This window comes from Homo sapiens, chromosome 2, assembly GCF_000001405.40.
Source record: "Homo sapiens chromosome 2, GRCh38.p14 Primary Assembly".
Taxonomy (NCBI): domain Eukaryota; kingdom Metazoa; phylum Chordata; class Mammalia; order Primates; family Hominidae; genus Homo; species Homo sapiens.
Window position 1 is genome coordinate 144,877,698 of NC_000002.12, and position 21,542 is coordinate 144,899,239.

A 21,542-nucleotide genomic window follows, 5' to 3' on the forward strand; every position below is an offset into this window, starting at 1 on the left:
GACATAGCTCAGGATTTTTGCCCTTCCATTTCTTAGTTTTCAATTAGTTTTTTGTTGATTTTCCAAAACTTCAAGCATATTTCAAATAAGAAATGAGTAAGAAAAAGGTTACATTTCACTACCCTGTGGTTTTCAGTTTCTAAAGACTTCATTCCAAAATTAGAAACAAAGATTAAAAAGACATTTAGTTACTGATACACAGTGACCCCAAATGAAGCTACCTATTCTGTTCACGGGACATAATTTTAAAGTTTTCAAGAGTATAATTATTTAGGAAGAAACCTGAATACTTCCTGAGCACTAGGTTATCATATGGTCTACCCGGTGTCAGAGGCATCCAAATGTATGGCGAGTTACTGTGATTCTCCGACAGCCTCTGCATCCTGAAAGACTCAACGCTGAATCAGCGAATAGTACTGCAAAGGAAATGAGAAAGAGAGCAGTACTAAATATTTGTTTCGTGGCCCTTCTGTATCTGCCCTCCATCTTTTAAAATTCCGCTCTGTGCCTTGGGAAGTGACAAGTGTGAATGGTGTCAACAAACTCCTTGGCTTCACAGCTTCTGATTGAATTTACCAGCAGAGTATATCAAAGACCAGAGAGTGAGACTAAGGTATTTATTCCTGTATCCACTGCGTGATTCCAGATGGCTGAGCATTGATTGTGTTCTTCTACTGCACACATCTCTGGTGTCTACAAATATGCCTGGGACATAGTAGGCTCTCAATAATTATATGTATCCACTTGTCAATCACTCCCTACTTCTTCCTTCTCTTTATCCACACAAATGTATGCCCTCATTCATACCTTCTTCACCACGCATATACATCTTTCAGATGATTGATAACCCCTTTTTAATATCTATTTTTTTACAGGCTGCATGGGGTGCTTTTTAATTGGATGACATATAGAAACAATTGTTGGCATGGGGCTTTGGGCACACTGTCTGATTGCCCTATTACCTAGGCCCTTCAGGTTCCCTTGAAATATTCCTTGACTAAGGCAATGCATCAATAAATTATGTCACTAACATGAAGTGCTTCATTCCCAAGGAGGGAACTGGGCATTGGGGAGAAATGGTCTCAATCACTGATTTATTCAGCCTATTTTTATTTCTTTAAATAAAAAGTGGTACATCAATAGAAAGTTTAGGGCTAATGATAGAACACTTAATATTAAGTGAAAGAAAAACCAAGGAGATGTGGATGAGATTTGAAATGCTTTGAAGTCCGGATGAGGCGGGATTTGGTCTTTTGCCTTCTACCTAGAATACATAATTAAGATGACTTTGGCTCCAGCGGGACACATGGGGACTGTGGATGGATTGAGCATTTTAAGGATTTAGAACATGTCTACAGTTGTCTCTGCCTTAATTACATCAGGGGAAAGCTTTTATTTTAACTTTGGCCAAGGAAACCCTAGTCTTGAAACTGTTTTCATTTGACGAAATGTTTATTCTCACAGGAAAGAGGCAGGGCTGTGCACAGTTGACGAGCCAACACTGATGTGGTTATAAATGAGGGGAGGGAGAGATCCAAGGAATGGGCATGGAAAAGTTGCCAAAATTATCATGACATTGGGTTCATAGATCTAACCCATGACCTTCTTGCAAATCTTGGGAAATTTGTGTTTACAAAATGCATGGCACCATCATGAAACTTCTAAAGACATTCTTCAAACAGTCATGTATTCCAAACTGCTAAATTGTATATCACCATGAATAAAATGTTAATATTTCAAAGACTTTAAAAGCAAACATTCTCATATATGCAAATTTCAGTTATAGAGAAACCCTTTTTCTAAATCAACTGTGCATACCTTTTCTTTGCACAAATATAGCCAAACTGCCAGGCAGCTGAAAGATAAAGACAAACACTGAGAACAAAGCACAACACTAGAGTTAAGAGAGATTTGATTCATGTTCTAAGGGTCCATGCTACTTCTGACTGCCATGAGATGTTTACTGCTCATTGATTATGAGCTCACTTGAAAGTCTCTCATACCCAGTAAACTGTGTTGCATTTAGGAGGTCTGGTAAGGAATGGCTGAGACCATCCCGTCAGAACGACTGATCTGGAAGTTCTGACATAATCCTGCCTAGCCCCAGAGATTATTACTTGATCAATAAAAACTTCATTTTGCAATGCTAGAATGATGAAGATAAATAATACATGCACAATTAATAACTGTGGCAGGGGTCTGGAATTCAGCAGCCTTGAAGACTAGTCTCAGTCCCTCCACTGTTTTACTGTGAAATCAAGGGGATTGAGCTCTTCTTCCTTCTCTGACTCAATTCCATTTACCTACTGTGTACAAGCCACTCTACTAGAAGATGGGAGATCCCAAGATGAATAAGAAATTTTACATGCAATAAAGATTCTAGCCTGGTCACAGTAAGATAAATTAATACCTACAGCATGGAAGACATTAGGATTAAAAAGTCATGAATGTAAAGAGTCACAAAGTAGAGCTGTGTGAAAACAAACAATTCATATATACAAATCTGTGTTGAGCTCATGGATGATAGTATAAATTAGAATATATATTATTTTACTTTTGATTTGTATTTGTTGATTGCTCACATACGCTTGACACTTTAGTGAAGGCTCAGTTTTCATCATTATACCAATTTAATTCTAACTAGGACTCAACTTGGATTTTGATGACATGCAAACTACACCAATTCTGCATAAAAAAAATGGTTCAGGGACGAAATTGTGAAATTGTATAGCAAACAGCATTCTTATGCAACCTTGTCAATTGCTACCATGGCATGGCAGTCAGAGATTTACATTGATGTATTAAGAATGTCTAGGCTGGGTGCGGTGGCTCACGCCTGTAATCCCAGCACTTTGGGAGGCTGAGGTGGGTGGCTTACGGGGTCAGGAGTTCAAGACCAGCCTGGCCAAAATGGTGAAACCCCGTCTCTACTAAAAATACAAAAATTAGCCTGGTGTGATGGCGGGCACCTGTAATCCCAGCTACTCTGGAGGCTGAGGCAGGAGAATTACTTGAACCCGAGAGGCGGAGGTTGCAGTGAGCTGAGATTGCACCACTATACTCTAGCCTGGGTGACAGAGCAAGACTCCATTTCAAAAAAGAAAAAAAATGTCTAGCAGTGAAAACCAAATATGCTGGATGCTCAGAAAACCTTTTCAGCATTGTTGGATTCTCCTATGAACCTACATCCACCAGTGTAATCTCTGGTTAAAATGAAAGCAAGAAAAGGTGTTAAATTAAGTCAAAAGAATACTGATGAACAGGGAAGGGGAAATTAATTAAATTAAGACATTATTTTCTTCTCAAATTCCATTTTGGATTGAGCCTCATGGGGGGGTACGTCCATTCATTTAATAATGCTCTGATGCCTACTCAGCAGCAAAACATACAAAGGAAGAGTGGATTAATCTGATCAGGCTGCCATAGCAAAATACCACAGACCAGTGGCTTAAACAATAGAAATTTGTTTTCTCACAGTTCTGGAGGGTAGAAGTCCAAGATCGTGATGCTGTCAGAATTTGGTTCTGGTAAGCCTTCTCTTCCTGACTCTTCCTGACTTGTGGAAGGCCACCTTCTGGCTGTAATTTCACATGGACTTTCCTCAGTGAGTATGGAGGGATAGAGATGAGAAAGAGAGGGAAGAGTCACTCTGGTGACTCTTCCTCTTCTTATAAGGACACCAATGCTATCCGATGATTTGGGCCCCATGCTATATGATTTCATTTCACCTTAATTACCTCCCCAAAGGCTGTGTCTCCACATTGGGGGTTAGGTCTTCCGCATAAGAATTTCAGGGAGATGCGTTTCAGTCTCTGACAAAAAAGAATCCTGTTTTAGTTAACACTAGGGCTAAGTAACTAGGGCTTAGGCCTGTCATAACAAAACACTGCAGAGTGAGTGACTTAAACAACAAAATTATTTTCTCACAGTACCAGAGGCTGGAAGTCCAAAATCAAGCTGTCCGAAGGATTGCTTCTTCTGAGGCCTGTCTCCTTGACCTGTAAATAGCTGTTTTCTTTCAGTGTTTTCACATGGTGCCTCTTTATGTTGTCTATATTCTCATTTTCTATTCTTGTAAGAACACTAGTCATATTAGATTAGGGCCCACCTTAATAATCCCATTGTAATGTAACTATTTCTATAAAGGTCTTATCTCCAAATGGTCACATTTTCAGGTACGGGGTGTTAAGGCTTCAATATATGATTTTGGGGCTATAGAACTCAGTCTGTAGCAAACACTATAGGACACATCTGTTGAAAGAATATTTCAAATTGGAATTTGAGAAGGATCATGATTTTGACCATCCCACCACCATATTTGTTGAAAGCCACAGGCAAGGAAAGGAAGTGAGGTACAGAAAAAAAGAACCCACTTGGCACCAACATTCCACCTACGCTGTTGCTCCAGAGCAACAGCTTCTAATTCCTTGATCATTGAACAGCAGCAGTCCAGCTTCTCCACCTTCCCACCCTCCACACTTTCAACTTTGTGCAACTTACTATTTCAACTTTTGGTTTGCTGTGAACAATAAAACATGGAAAATGGTTACACTATGAGACTTTCTCATATCTGGCTGGACTCACTCAGCCATTTGACTTCAGCCTCAGCAAACTACCACTAAATCTTGGTGAGGTTAGTGCACTGAGGGAGGTTTAAAAACCAACCAACCAAATAATTCGCTACAAAAAAGTTGGACTTAATTTGTGTCAGCAGGAAATGTGACTACTTTTCAAGAATGGGTTCCCAGTGGTGCCATTAAATGATTACATAGTTAACAGTTCAAGGCTTATTTTGGGAAGGTATGGTGTTATACCTGATGGAGCATGCTTTCTACATTTTGGTAGGAGGGGGCACTCATTTTCAGTATTTATTGTGATTGAATGAAAATCTTCCTGCCAAAATGTGTTTAAAGAACCGTTTATCACAACTGGTCAGAGAACAACAGTGTGAAGTATGTTGGAAAATGACTAACAACTGGCTCTCTTGTGGGGGAGGGGGTGATTTTTAGCTTTTGCCAATTTCCGTGGTGTAAATACTCCTGTCATGGATGATTTCAAGCTACCACCATGACGTTGCTGGTTTCAGGTTTGGGAAGAAATTACATTAGCTCTGGCAAATGGATCAAGCCAACTGCAGCATACTACTGACGGTAGGTGGGACCAAGATGCAGAACCGTCCAATTAAAGATACACTTTATTCATTCTAGGTGTCACCACAGGCACAAGCAATCTGCATAGCATATTCAGGGCAGTTTAGTCCTATGTAGAATTTTGCTGATGACTACTGCAATAATGCAATTGATAAAAGCCATTCATTGGGCAAATGAATGAAGACAGGAGAAGGATTTTTTTTTTTTTTTTAAGTAACAATGCTAACTTAAGGAAAGGAGCAAATTATATGGTATAAAAACTGAGCAACATAGTGAAAGGATTCATACTAGTCTGGTCAAAAATGTTTTGCTAGTCACAAAATATTTTTTTCTTCTTTCTTTTTTGGAGAGGCAGGGGAAGAGGCATTGGTTTTTTAATTTTTTTTGTGAACAGACAATGGGATCAGAACCCACTCTGTGTTCTTTGAAGTGTGTAAGTATGTATAGTTAACTATGTACCTTTCTCATTACAGGGGTGGGCCTGATTATTCCCAGCAAGCCATTTTCTTATCTAGATATAAAGAGTCCATCTGGATGATGTTGAATAAGGCTACTTGGATCAAATTGACTCTGCCTGCCTGCAAAGGCAAAGCAAAACTAAAGCCACTCCTGACTCCTAGTAGCCTCATTTGAAATGCTTTTTCCTTGTCAGCTTGTATTACATATAGTATTGGAAAGTCCCGTCCTCTGAGTTACTAAATACCGGAAGCCATCATTTTTCCAGTTTATTATGAGCATGACCCTTTGGAAGTCCTTGATGGAGAGGCTTGGATACAGCGGTGGTGGTTCTGCATGGGAAGACAGATGGCTGCTCTCGGTACTTCTTTTGCAGCTCAAGCCCCCCTCCCACGTGTCTATTGTGTGCTCTGCCACATGGACTGGCTTCAGTGATGGGCTTCAAGGATATGCCTCTGCCTCGATTTCTCATAGTACCTGCTGCTGCCTCTACCCACTGACTTCTAGCAGATGACAATTTGTCATCTAGAGTAATTATTTTTATTCATTTATTCAGTTCCATTTTAAATAATAAGATTCAAATCAGTAAAGTAAGTGTCATAGACAGTAATAAACATGTTTTAACTTCCGCTCTATAAATCCCAAACTGCTAGGATGCTATATAATATCTTCAGAAACTTGATTAAACTGAATTTCTTGTTAAAATAGATATATACTTTTTGTGCTGAAACATATATATATATATAAAACTATATTTGTATAGTTTTTACAGATTATAAAGTATTTACAGATATGTTAGATTATTTTATCAAAACAATAACCTGGGGATATTGATAGAGATCTTTCCATTCATCCCATTTGTTGATTAAAAAATTAAATTTCAGAAAAATTAAGTAATTTTTCTAAGTAAGTGAGAGAATAGAAACTTGAACCTGTATCTTCTGACTGTAAATCATGGTAATCCATGTTATTTTTAAAATATACAAGGGATTAACATATTTGACTTGAAACATCTCTCAGAATTTTTACTTTAGTATTTTAGTCAGAGACCCTTTAAAATCTCATTTATTCTGTGTGTTTTTCGTCTTCTGATGTTTTTTATGTATATCTATCTACTAAGAAGAAAGTTGATTATTTCTCAAAAATGTCTGCTTAAGCCTTGACCCAGGCTGGTATTCTTTTCAAGAAAAAAAAAGTCTTGAGGTGTTAGAATTGTACAAAACACTTAAAAAACACTAAAATGGTTATTTGCTTCCTAGTTAGAAGTTTTTATCATTTTCAGATTATGAAACAACTCACCTACAATGTGTTTTTAGTGCTTTACTCCCTTCTTTCTCCCTCTTTTCCTACCTTTTTTAGGATTATTGATCCATTTTGAATTATCTGGTACTTGCTGTACCTAAAGTATGGATCTAGTATTTTGTTTTAGATGGTTATTCAGGGGTCCCAAGATGTTTATAAAATAATTTACCTTTCTCCACTGATTTGGGATGACATCCTTATTGTACACAAAATTTCTGTTTATATTAGACACACTTTTGGATTTGTTATAATATTTTATTAGTCTATTGGTATTAATGTGATATTAACATACTATTAATTATTACGAATTTAGAATAAATTTTAATATGTTAGAGCCAATCTACCTCTATTGCTTTTCTATATCAGGGTTTTCTTGGATATTATTGTAGGTATGTTTTTTTTCCATACAAATTTTTCAATTATCTTGTCTAGTTCTTAAAATGAGAAAAAGCAAAATAAACAAAAACAACACAAAAACTCATTGTAATTTTTGGGAGGGCTGTATAAAAAATGTATGAGATAATTTCAAACAAATTGTCCTCTTTATGATGTTGGGTCTTCTAGTCCGAGGTAGGTTTTCCCATTAATTCAAGTCTTCATTTTTGTCCTTCAGTAGCATTTACAATGGTTTCTTCACATGGGTCTTGCACTTTTTTTTTTTGTTTTAGTTATGCCTAGGTACGTTTTTAACTCTCATTTTCATTCTCTTATATTTCTCTTGGTTAGTACCTTTTATATAATGTTAACAATAGTGTTGGCATTGGACATTCTTCTTTTTTCTTACATCCAGTGTATTCCAAATAAGTATGATGCTAGATCTGGGAATGAGAGAGATATTTTTTCATCATATTGAGGTGCTCATATGTTTTTATTTTATTGATCTTTTAAAAGCCAAAACCATATTAATAAATTTGACTCATGAAAAGCTAAGAAAAAATTGTGTATGGCCAAAAACTATATAAAAGTCAAAAGATAAACCAAAATCTGGGAAAATTCCTCACAACTCATACTTTATAAAAAGTTCTAATGTAATAAAAATCTTCTAGAAATCAATAATTTAAAAAGACCGATAATTAAAAAAATATATAGACAAAAGTTTTAAAAAGATAACATACCTTTGGCTCTTAAATACATGAAAACAGGCACAGTAATACCCTTAGTTAGAGAAACATTAATTGAACTATATCATAATACCATAGTTTTTTACTTAAAGATTGTGAAAAGTCAAGAAGTTAAATAAAATTCTTAGGCTGTGGGGAAGTAGAAATTAGTATGACACTATGAAAGCCATTTAGATATATCCATTAAAATTATAAATGCAGTACATTCTACTTCATCAATTTAACTTCTGGCAATTTTTCCTACATATATACTGCATATGTGCAAAATGGAATATTACCAGGTTATTCATTGCCACATTATTTGTAACAGTAAAAGACTCAAAACAACCTAAGTGTCTATGTTAAATGACTGGTTAAATAAGTACACATATGCAATGGAATACTATTCAACTCTAAAAGACAGGAGAAATCTCTGCACATAGTTAGATGGGAAAATACAGGGTTCAGAGCAGTGTGCTACATTTTGCTTAAAAAGGGGAGAAACGAGAACATATTTCTGTGTGTGCTTATATGCTCATTATAAAATTCTGAAGGAATGGCAAGAAATTGATGACAATAATTACATTCATGGGTTGTGGGTATGGTACTAAACTGAAGTGGGACTGACCTAGGAATGAAAGTTTCACTGTTTGCTTTTGAAATATACTTTTAAAATTGTTGAGCCATGTTAATGATGTGTGCTCTATTTAAAATTATATTTAAAGAGATAAATCTACTTTTGCTACATTTATTTCTGAGACTATAGCTTTAGTAAAGGTTTCCTTTCTTACCTAGGTTGTTCTTAGGCTCTTTTGGCTACATGAAAGATAAAAAGAAAAAAATCTACACATTATTATCAAAGTTTCTCGGAAGAGGGTAAATGAAGGAAGACATTGTAAGATATTATAGGAAAGCATTCAAGATAGAATTCAGGATTTTTTATTTTTAAGATTCTTTGAGAGAAATCTAATTGAATTTGAAGTTATTAGATTTTCTCATTGATTTTAATTGAATGTGACAATTATTTCTATACATGTAGGAATTTTAATAAATGCATAAATAGTACATACAGTTTTATTTGTTTTAAGTCATCACTTGGGAGTTAATATGCTTTCAATGGGATTCTTGTTGTGTTTTCCAAAGCAAAGGTCCTATAAAGGCAGAGGAAATCCTCAGGTTTCCCATTCCTACCTTGTAGACTGTGTTCCTCTGGGAGTGCAAGCCCATGGGCAGAGAATGCCTCTGAAGGATGCAGGGCCTGGGGGAGGACCTCGGGTTCAGCAGCAGTTCTGGGGCTTGTTCTGATGTGCTAATCCTGTGACTGATTCTTGGCTTTGCCCATGGCCTTGGCTCCAACTCTTGGCTTAGATCTTGGGCCTTGGCTTGGTTAACTCTGTGACTTCTGGTTCTGAACACTGGCTGTGACCCCAGAATAAATACTTGCAGCAAACTCATTAGAACTTCTGGTCTGCGGTTCGATCCTGGTTTCCTGGCCCTAGGCTGCTTCTCTAAAGCCAGCTCACAGACTGAAGACTTTGTCCAGAGCTGTATGAAAAAGAATTTTAAGTAAACTATGATGAGCTATATAAATGTATAAGATTAGTAATATTATTTTAATATTACATTAATAATATTCAACCTTCTGGCAAAGGCAGTAATAAGGAATGCTAGTGTACAGTGATAAGGGGAAAAGACATGCAAAGCCTTTGATTATACATATCAAAGACTGAACTAGAGACTCTTTACTCCTGGGTTCATATTTGAAAGAATTAGCTTCATATATGTACAATGTATTCATCCCATTGAGGAAAATATTATCTCTGAAATTAATCTACTGTAATTGCTTCTCTCTTGTGTTTCAGACCCATATAGCCAACTTCCCTCTGGGCCCCTCCCTGTGGGTGCCCAGCAGGCAACACAGGTAAAGCATGGGTAGAACTGAGCTCATCCTATTCTTTCTCCAGCTCTGGTTCCTCAGCCTGCTCCTTCTTCTGTGCTTCCCAGCTCAAGGAATGGTAACACCATGTCCGAGGTGGATACCTTGGCAGCAGCCTCAGTTCTCCTGGCCTCATTCCTAACTAACAATAATTCTGTTAATCTCTTTCGATTTCTTCTGTTTCTCCTCTGTTGTGGCCAACATCACCTCTTGAAGGTACAACTGCTATTGTCTTCTGGTTGGTCTCCTTGCTTCTAATCCAGCCCTCATTGAAGTACTTTATGAAAAAGAGTGGTATTTTGAAAACACACATCTGAGTGTGTTGCTTTTTGGATGCTATTTCTTTGAATAATCATTCTTCCATATCCCAGTAAGTTGATAGCCCCTCGCTCTTCACATTCAAGCCTAGATATCAAAACCTCCAGGAGTGTTTCCTCAAGAACCAACTCTTTTAGGACTAACTTACATGTCTCTTCTTTTTATTCTCACAGAACTCTTCTGTGATCAAAGCATTTATCACATTCTATTATCATTGGCAGGTTACCTGTCTATTTTCTCCAAAAACTGTAAGGCATGTGGGGTAGGGGCAGCATATGTTTTGTTAATTGTCATATTCTTAGTACCTAACATGATCCAGGAATACAGTAAGTATTCAGTATTTGTATTTTAAGTAATTAATTGAATGCATGAACATTTAACATGAAATGTAAAATAATTCAATTACTAAAGCCAGAAAAATACCTGTTTAGTTATTCAGAATGGCCAATTGAGTGAAAGAGACAGCTAAAGAACAACAAGAAAATACTCAGAGTAAAACACAAAGAGATTAACAAATATAAAGACAAAGATGAGAACTTTGCTAGTTCTACTAGGTAATGCAGAAAATGAGATACAGAGAGAAGGATGTGACCTCCACCTATATTCTCCGAGACACAAGGTGGGGGGGAGGGAAGAGAGAGAGAGAGAGAGAGAGAGACAGACAGATACCAATACACAAAGATAAATAGATTTTTTAGACTTACCAACTCCCACATGGCAAAGAGGATGCAATAGATATCCTTGAAACTTATTACTATACTTCTTTGAATCTCTGATAGGCACAAAGAATGAATGTTTTACTAAAGTTTTGCAGTACTTTTCATAAGTGGAGTGTTGACTTTTAGCACTCTCTCCATGGGTTACCTACAATTAGGTTGTTCATGGGAGGTTTCCCAAACACTAGCCCTCTAATAAAGGAGATTTTACCATCAAACAAATGCTAGCTTGTATTAAACTACTGAGCACGGCATTTTCAAACTAGACCTTGGAATACTGGCAAGAAGGCTAGGATGCAAACTTTCAATAATTCTGCTTTATTATGATTCATCCTTATCTGGTTAAAAATTCTTATACATGAACTGGGTATTTTTTATTTATTTGAAATATATTATAAATTTACTATGTACAAAGTTATTGGATATTATTTTTCTACTCAAGACCCTTGAGCAAAGAGAATTTTGGTCTTAGCCGGTCTTAACTGATCTCAAGCTGTGAAGTAGCCATGGTAGTTATTGGGGTTTCAGAAATGCCATGGCGGTATAAATATAGCTTTTCTAAACTTAATCTCACCTACTATTATATTCTTTATTTCTTTTAATGAGGAAGTTGTTAATTCTACTCTAAGAAAATAATGGAAACAACTATTTATACCTTCATCCACAAAAGTATGCTCAACAACAAAAGTCTTCCAACAACCCCCTTATGTAGTTTTTGTCCTATGTCTACATCTAAAGTCATATTGTTTAGTTAGATACAAATAGTGAAACTGTTGCCTTTCAAAACAGTGGGAAAGAAAAACCACTATTAAGAAATTTGTATTAAAATTACTCTTCACTCTCTGACTCACGCACTACTGTGTAGGGCAGGGTCTCTCAGTCCAGGCATGATCGATGTTTGAGACTGGATAATTATTTGTGGTGGAGGCTGTCCTGTGCGTTATAAGATGTTTAGCATCATTCTTTGCCTCTACCCAGTAGATACCAGCAGCACCTTGCCCCCCGCCCGCCAACTATGACAAATAAAACTGTGTTTAGACTTTGCTAAATGTCCCCTGGGAGGTGAAATTGACCCTCATTGAGGACCACTGCCCTGGGTTTTGTAGTTTGTTTCTGTTTTATACATACAGTCCACGCTATATTGTGGCTACTCAAAACTGTCTTTTTAAATGAATAAATAAAAGCCGTCTATCCTCCTTCTGTTCTAAATAGGTGTCGACCACAACAACAAAAGTTTCAGGAGACTTACTATGTGCTCAACATTGTATTAGGTATTATGGTTGACCCTAAAGAAGCATCAGCTTGGCTTTGCACCAAAGAAGTTTTTAGTCAAGTTGGAGAGAGATCACTACTCAAAGAACGCAAGAGACTAATGGAAGACAGAATATATTGGCAGCAGACTAAAAGGCAGAATGGTCACACTTCAAAATGTTTGGTACAAGCTATGGTGATGTTATTGATCTTCTGATTTGATGTTCCTGTGAAGGTTCTATGACCTATTTTGATATGTAGACAGTGGTAAAATGCTCAAAGCTCTTTGCTACGATATGTAATAACAAAGGGAACAGTAAAAAATATTCTGTTTAAATAAGCCAGATCACTTTTACATGTGATGGCCAAGCCATGCAGGGGAGGAGGTGCTGAGCCTGGTTCTGTTAGTAACTGAGTGGTAGCTGAAGAAGACAAATCTAACCAGGCATGGCAAGTCCGTGGATGCCATGAGAGCCTGTGCATTTAGAACTAGGGCACACTAACAGAGATCAAACTAAGTTTTTCCACTAACATCAGACCTTTGCAATTTAATGATTATAAAACTTTCCTAACATTTGCAAGTTTCTAAACATTTATTTTCTTTTATTCTGTGCAATTCCTATTACCATTGAAATTATTTAGGTCACATATTTTTGTGTTATTTAAGTAACACTCAAAGACAAAACCAAGAAATTCTTTTTCTACTTTTAACCATCCTGATTGGATAGTTTATATTTATATCAAGTTCTAATCTCCTAAAATTTTTAGTGTGTTTAATAATGAATCTTTGAAGAATATGATACACTTGTGTAATAGCTTTTTCATATAATAAAATTTTCCAAAGTAAATAACCTGACAAATTAAAAAAAACTCATACATTAAATGTAAAGTACTATTTTGTTATAATCATAGAATTTAATAAATTAAAAGGATTTTAGAGAATATTAAGTTGATGGAAGTTACTATAACTCACAAATATTTTGGTACTCCCACCTTCTGGGCTTATAGCAGAATTGCACTTCTATACTGACTTGAAGCCAGGTGTGGACATATGACATGCTTTAGCCAATTAAACATGATCGTGTGTTATTACCAGGCAAAAGCTTTAAGAAGCAGTGGGTGGTTTTCCTGTGTCATTGTGACCAGTGATATTCCAGGCAGTGGTAGCTCTGTTATCTTGAATCTTGGAGTGAGGATGATGACAAAGCAGGAACATGATCCCAGCTGACCTGCATAGAACATCTAGAGGGAAGGAGAAATAAAATTTTTGGTTTAAACTACAAATACAGTCAGCAAACACAAATACAGTCAGTAAGATTTGGTGATTGTAACCACAGCCTAACTTAGATCACCCTGTTTGATACAAAATCCACATTCCCCATTGTCAAATAGTTATTTAAGGCACAGAGAAATTGCAGCACTTGACTGTGGTTGCAAATGAGGTTGACAAAATCTTTTCCAGAATCAATATCTGCTGCCTAGAGTAGTATATTTTTCCACTTTACCAATGTTCTCCCAAATTTTGCATGTGTACCAACATTGAATATGAGGTGATTTTGTGATATAAATATTACTTTAAATGATAATGTATCACTTGGGCAGAAAGTTAATGTCTCTTCAGTTGTCTTTCACTCTTTCCGATTAATGAAAGGAAGAATTCTCTATTTGGTGTTAGCATGTCTATAACTGTGGATATTTAGCTGCCTTCTAACCATTCCTTTAAAAAAAAAAAAAAAAAGAATGAGAGAACAGGACTCAGGCTCTGAGCCTTCCTTAGGCACCAGACAGAATTCAATAAGTGTTTGATTTTCACTGAGATAAATTTTACAGTTACTTTTTGTTGTTGTTGTTGTGGAGACAGAATCTCTCTCTGTCGCCCAGGCTGGAGTGCAGTGGCGTGATCTCGGCTCACTGCAAGCTTCACCTCCCAGGATCAAGTGATTCTCCTGTCTCAGCCTCCTGAGTAGCTGGGACTACAGGCACATGCCACCACACCCAGCTAATTTTTGTATTTTTAGTAAAGACAGGTTTTCTCCATGCTGGCCCGACTGGTCTCAAACTCCTGACCTCAGGTGATCCGCCCACCTTGGCCTCCCAAAGTTCTGGGATTATAGGCATGAGCCCCTGTTCCTGGCCACAGTCACTTCTTTTATAAGGTTTTCCATTTTCGTAGTGACATAACATTTACCTTAAAGATATATTTGTTCAAGAACCAAAAGTTAAAGAAAAATATTAGCTAAATTACAAGGCAGATGCTATGCAGATATGGCAGAAATTGCAAGAGTAATTAATACACAGTGGTGAGTGGTGAGGTGAAAATAACTGGTGCTGGGTAAAGAAATTCTACCATGTCGAAGTACTGACATCAGATCCTCTCTTTTCATAAAAAACAGAAAAATAGGGAAATATATATTCATTTATTCTATGAGTTTCTATTCAATTCTGTTAGCAAAACCCATTCCTTTGACATCTACCAAAGAGAATTTGCTAGGTCCTTGGTGGCACAAAGATGTGTACAGTCTTTTCTCTAATCCTCAAAGACTGAATGTCACATATAACTGGAAAAAAACTCTTTTAATATAAGAAAACAAAAAAATCAGCAATTTTACTCACCTTCTGTGATCACATTTGAATCTTGTCTACACTTGTAGGCTTAATAATCTATTTAAATAATGCTTATATAAATTGATTTCAAAAGTACTTTCTATTGTTATTGTTTTTTAATTTCAGATCTCTAAATAGTGTCCCTAACTGACATTTCTTTTGTATGTGGGTAGGTAAAATTGATTTTGTCTCAATTAGATAGCACCTATCTCTTTGTTGGCCTGGTCAGGGTGAGGAGCAAGTGAATGCTTTCTATATTTAGAATAACAGTGGAGAATGACATAATTAACAAAAAGTAAGCAACATAGAAGGAAGAGCAGGTTTCAAAACAGTATACTGGGTACAGTTTTGAACAGTGATTCCATTAAACTTACAGCGAGCAGAGAAGCCACAATATTGAGCTACGTTAATCAACTTTCAACAGAATCTCAAAATTAAGATTTAGCAAATTTCAATATCATGTAGGACCATGGGAATCACCTATTTTTTACTAGATGCATGGCTGTGGTATAATTTATTAGACGCATATGTGTGCATATCAGTTTTTAGTATCCAGGGTCAAACTCCATTTAAAGCCACAATGGCCTTACAATGTCTTTGTTTTATACTGTTCTACACTTTACTCTCTGCTACCTTAGCAGTCAAAGACTATATTATCAGAGTGGTATATTGCAATGGCTCCTCTGGCATTTTCACCAAACAACATGTGTTGAATGCTATTATATTAAATGCGGTTGGAGAAAGGGCTTCCAGGTATGCTACTGAATAGTCGTTGCTCTTAAGAAATTTAAATTTAGATAAAACAGATTTTTTTAAGGGTGTAAGAATCATGCAAACTGTACCAGGATGATTCTGTATTGATCAGCCTGAGATTTATATTGTATTTCTATTTCATTGTGTTGGAAGATGATAGAGACAGCCTTGCTGTGATGCTCACATTGAAAATATGAATTTGTTCCAATGTGACTATCAGGGAGCAATTTGCATAACATAAATTTTGCACTTGTTTATGTACAATTGTGTCTGGAGAAATGCAAGATGAACATACAAAACTGCACTCAGTAGAACTGCACTACTTAGGAATATACAAAATGCACACGTGCACATACTTCAAACATCTACCAGCTACCCTGTTCACGGTATGTGTTATGAGCCACACCTATCCACATCTGGTATTACAGCTTGCTGTATAATTTCATGTAGCCCTCCATCCACCCCTGTACATTAACTTACGAGCTTTTATCTTGCTGAGGCTCACTTCCACAAGCACACTTCAGGTCTTTTTCAAGGTAAGGTGACACGTTCTGTAGCATTTATGCAATTCTTAACCATTTATCGTTATGTAAAACTATGCTATGATTTTTATTAGGTATCTAGCTTTTTTTAATGAGTCACTGACAAAGTTTTTGAGTGTTGCATCCCAACACCATTTTTTTCCCACAAGCCCTGTTGTTTTATTTCATGATTTTGCATATCTAATTATTGCAGATATATATGCAATATGTATCTGCATACTGACTGTACATATGTCTGCTTATTTTGGTCCAGTATTAATAGAGCTAATAACTGGCAGTGTTAAATCTATGACACTGTGGGAGTTGTATAGAAACTTAAAACTATAGCAGGATCCTGTATTTCAATCTGGTACAGAAATCTCTAGAATTTTTGAAACATTGCACTTGCCTCATATAAAAAAAATTTAGACACATCTGTAACTATGATAGTATCTGTTGCAAGAAGCAATTGTTTCCCAAATATATGGCAACTATCTCATCTGGCAAAGATAGGTCTTCTTGGATTATCAGTAGGTTCTCAGTTTAACAGGGCCAATTATTTCCCTTTCAGCAAACAGGGGAATAGGGAATGAGGCCCAGTTTCCCAATGTATTCCTTTATCGATATTTTTGGCAAAATTTTATTGAGCAACTACTGTGTATTAGACATAGTGGATATTGTGGTAAGATAAACCAAATCCTTGCCCTCAACTTACATTTGCTATCAAAATTATAGATATGCAATCACATGAGTAATCAAAGAGAATTAATAGTAGCTTTCTTCTGTTTTTAGTTTTAAAATGAGTTTGTGAGTAGCAATCCTTCAGATTAATTTTTAGTTTCAACTGGTCTCTGACAAATTAGATTTAGGTAGTCATTCTCTCAGAAGGGAAGGCCAAAGACAAATATGCTAGAAAACATGCTCTCCAAAAGAAATCGCTTGCTATTAGAATGATCAACAACCTTGAGCAGGCCAGGTTGTGAATGTGTGGCCTGGTGCTATGTCCCAGGGGTGGGTATGTGGTAGAAAGTTGCAAGAAAGACTGGTTTGGCTTCCAGTGGTTTCTAAATTGAATTAGCCAAGCAAACATTTCAACTATTCACTACCAGTTGGAAACATTAACTATTCACATTAGACTATTACAATTTTTGACTATGTTTTAGTTTTGAATATAAAATTTAGTAGAACTCATTTAGTCTCATAGGAAGAGGGTTAACTTCTCTGGTTTCTTCTAAATATAAACTTGCTTCCTTAGTCCAGGACCCTCCCCAGTTCTTCTGGCTCGCCCTCTCTCTTCCTGATCACCTTTTGTTTTGCAGAGGACTCCCTGCCTTGGGTGAGGCTCTGAACTACAATGCTGGAGGATGGGGGCCTTTGTGGTCTGTTTCGAGCCCTGCGAAAATGCATCGGACAAGTTTTACTTTCTTAGAGTGCTATACAATGATTTTTTTTAAATGTGTCTAAGAAATGGAAACATTTTGTCTCATATAAAAAAGAAATATTTTTATACTGTGCTCCACTCACAGACCACATCAGAGGTATTCTAAGAATAGAATAGATCAAATATATTTTATGGAAATATAATGAGAAAAGGATGTGTTCCCAAAACTCACTCTGAACAAAGGAATGCAGCATAGTCAGGAATACTTTAATGCTCCTAACAATTTTCTCATGTGAAAGGCTGAGGAACGGCCCTGGTTTGAAGAAATCTCCCACTTCTCCCCAGGCTCCGTGAACTTGAAATCAGAACTAGGAAATCTATACATTGAAAAAAAGAAAACGTGTGGAAAAAGTGACTTAGGGCATTAACCAAAAAGGCATTTTTGGAAGAAGAAAACATCAATATGAAACATTTTGTCATATTTCATTTCATTGATCATATATTTATTTTATGTATTCCAGAGTACTGAAGCTTAGAAGTAACTGAATTTCTGGGGATTCGTATTAGATTTGTCAGTCTGTGTTTGAGGGAACTTACTGGGAAACAAAATATATTGCAATCATTCACTTTTATCATGCTGTTCTGTCATGTATACAAAGAACAGTAAGACTAAATACACTGAACGTATATCTTTTCTGAAAAACAAAGTACATCAGGGACTGAATATATCATCAAATAATATTCTTTTCACAATTATAACTTACAGGTATTCAAAACACTGCATGTGCTGGCTTATTGAAATCACTTGACTAGAGGTAGATTTTCTTCTAATCGTATTACATAATGCATCTTAGCAATATGTTTGCTTTTTTGACTTTTAAATTTTAGCTGTTACACGAATGCATAAGTGTGATTTTCTTGCTTTTTCAAGACTCTGTGTTCCAGTTTATATACTCATGTTGATTCTTCTGCTGGATTCAATGTTGCCACCAAATGTCCGATTGTCTTCCTGAGTGTATTTGGCTTAATAATTTTACATTTTGAAATATTCTACATTAGGCAATAATATTCAGCTCCCTTCAATTCTATTTTGTGTTTTCTCAAAAAAATATATGCATTCTCAATAGATTACTGTTTATTTACTGTATATGCTGTAATAAAGTCTGAAGGGACTACAGAGTCCCATGAAAGGAAAATCATCATAATATTTATGCATTAAACACACATATTCATGCACATATATCTATTTTTTGAAAAACCCAAAATGCATATGCTATCATGGCCCCCAAGGTAGCAATAACATATGCAGAGAAAATTTATGCAGTTCCAGGCTGTGAACAGGATTTCTAAGAGCTACTTCCAGAAAACATTACCCCCCTCCTCGTTCTTCAATCTGTCCACTTACTTCACTCTGAAGACCTCCTTCTTTTTCTAAATTGACTAGTGAGCTGGGTGAGTTAGTCTAATCATTTAGGTTTGCTGTTTTGTGACTTTTGCAGGGTAACAAAAACATTTTTAGATGTGTGTGTTTGTGTGTGTGTATGTGTGTGTGTGTATGTTACCATGTTTTTTCCCCCTTATAAAGAATTTGCAGGATAGATAGGCTCCTTAAACATAGGGAATAGTTTTATTTTAAAAAGTCAAAATAGTATTGAGGTTGCATTTTTGTCAGCTCGAATTCTCCTTCGTATTTTCAACTAGAAAAATGGATGGTAATTGTGTGGCTCTTAAAAATAATTTTTAAACTTTTCAGTAGATAAATCTAAAAATGTTTACATTTAAAAATTCCCTCAATGAGGAATGAATATATGCCCTGGAAATCTTACTGCTTTCACTATTGAACAGGAAATGTTGATGGAGGGTTAAAAACTGTCAAAAGCAAAATCATGCTCAGTTTTGAATGACATACATTCACAATGTCTGTGATATAACATTTAAAATACTATGTTTTGTATTCATTTACTTTATAGTTTTGAATATGTAGTCTATAGTTTATATGTTATACTTAATATAATATAATTGTGTATTTTTAATAAATTAAAACATTATGTATCATAAATATGAACTATAACTACAATTTTGTTATTTGGAAACTGTTTCTCTAGGTTTTGACAGGACATGAGGCTCATCATTAGAATTCTGTATTAGAATATAATAAAATGAAAAGGACTTATGAAATCTTGAAATCTCATTTCATTTGCATTTTTTATTTTCTGCCTCTCTTTTTCTATAAAGAAATTGGACATGGCTTATGGATGTATATTCAAGGTACCTTTCATAGTTATAAATTAGGATCAGGTGGCCCATTCTATATTTCAGTTGATGTTAATCCCTGGTAATATTATTAATATAGAGTCAAATTTTGCCTCTTAAAATATTCTTTTTTTTTTTTCTGCGTCAAATGAGCAGCTTCTTCTTTTTTTTTTATTATACTTTAAGATTTAGGGTACATGTGCACATTGTGCAGGTTAGTTGCATATGTATACATGTGCCATGCTGGTGCACTGCACCCACTAACTCGTCATCTAGCATTAGGTATATCTCCCAATGCTGTCCCTCCCCCCTCCCCCCACCCCACAACAGTCCCCAGAGTGTGATATTCCCCGTCCTGTGTCCATGTGATCTCATTGTTCAATTCCCACATATGAGTGAGGATATGCGGTGTTTGTTTTTTTGTTCTTGCAATAGTTTACTGAGAATGATGTTTTCCAATTTCATCCATGTCCCTACAAAGGACATGAACTCATCATTTTTATGGCTGCATAGTATTCCATGGTGTATATGAGCCACATTTTCTTAATCCAGTCTATCATTGTTGGACATTTGGGTTGGTTCCAAGTCTTTGCTATTGTGAATAATGCCTCAATAAACATACGTGTGCATGTGTCTTTATAGCAGCATGGTTTATAGTCCTTTGGGTATATACCCAGTAATGGGATGGCTGGGTCAAATGGTATTTCTAGTTCTAGATCCCTGAGGAATCGCCACACTGACTTCCACAATGGTCGAACTAGTTTACAGTCCCACCAACAGTGTAAAAGTGTTCCTATTTCTCCACATCCTCTCCAGCACCTGTTGTTTCCTGACTTTTTAATGATTGCCATTCTAACTGGTGTGAGATGGTATCTCATTGTGGTTTTGATTTGCATTTCTCTGATGGCCAGTGATGATGAGCATTTATTCATGTGTTTTTTGGCTGCATAAATGTCTTCTTTTGAGAAGTGTCTGTTCATGTCCTTCGCCCACTTTTTGATGGGGTTGTTTGTTTTTGTCTTGTAAATTTGTTTGAGTTCATTGTAGATTCTGGATATTAGCCGTCAGATGAGTAGGTTGTGAAAATTTTCTCCCATTTTGTAGGTTGCCTGTTCACTCTGATGGTAGTTTCTTTTGCTGTGCAGAAGCTCTTTAGTTTAATGAGATCCCATTTGTCAATTTTGTCTTTTGTTGCCATTGCTTTTGGTGTTTTAGACATGAAGTCCTTGCCCATGCCTGTGTCCTGAATGGTAATGCCTAGGTTTTCTTCTAGGGTTTTTATGGTTTTAGGTCTAACGTTTAAGTCTTTAATCCATCTTGAATTGATTTTTGTATAAGGTGTAAGGAAGGGATCCAGTTTCAGCTTTCTACATATGGCTAGCCAGTTTTCCCAGCACTATTTATTAATTAGGGAATCCTTTCCCCATTGCTTGTTTTTCTCAGGTTTGTCAAAGATCAGATAGTTGTAGATATGCGGCGTTATTTCTGAGGGCTCTGTTCTGTTCCATTGATCTATTATCTCTGTTTTGGTACCAGTACCATGCTGTTTTGGTTACTGTAGCCTTGTAGTATAGTTTGAAGTCAGGTAGTGTGATGCCTCCAGCTTTGTTCTTTTGGCTTCGGATTGACTTGGCGATGCAGGCTCTTTTTTGGTTCCATATGAACTTTAAAGTAGTTTTTTCCAATTCTGTGAAGAAAGTCATTGGTAGCTTGATGGGGATGGCATTGAATCTGTAAATTACCTTGGGCAGTATGGCCATTTTCACGATATTGATTCTTCCTACCCATGAGCATGGAATGT

At 36.2% G+C, this 21,542-nt stretch overlaps 2 long non-coding RNA genes across 2 annotated transcripts in view; one reads left to right on the forward strand and one right to left on the reverse strand.

The window, feature by feature from the left end:
* The window catches only part of TEX41 (testis expressed 41), a 408,763-nt gene that overhangs the window by 209,731 nt on the left and 177,490 nt on the right, over window positions 1–21,542 (forward strand). The window lies entirely within an intron of this gene.
* LINC01966 (long intergenic non-protein coding RNA 1966) lies at window positions 167–4,216 on the reverse strand. Its single transcript, XR_923412.3, has 3 exons — window positions 3,933–4,216; window positions 1,819–1,855; window positions 167–416 (listed from the first exon to the last, which is right to left on the reverse strand). It is a non-coding gene; the product is annotated as a long intergenic non-protein coding RNA 1966 (long non-coding RNA).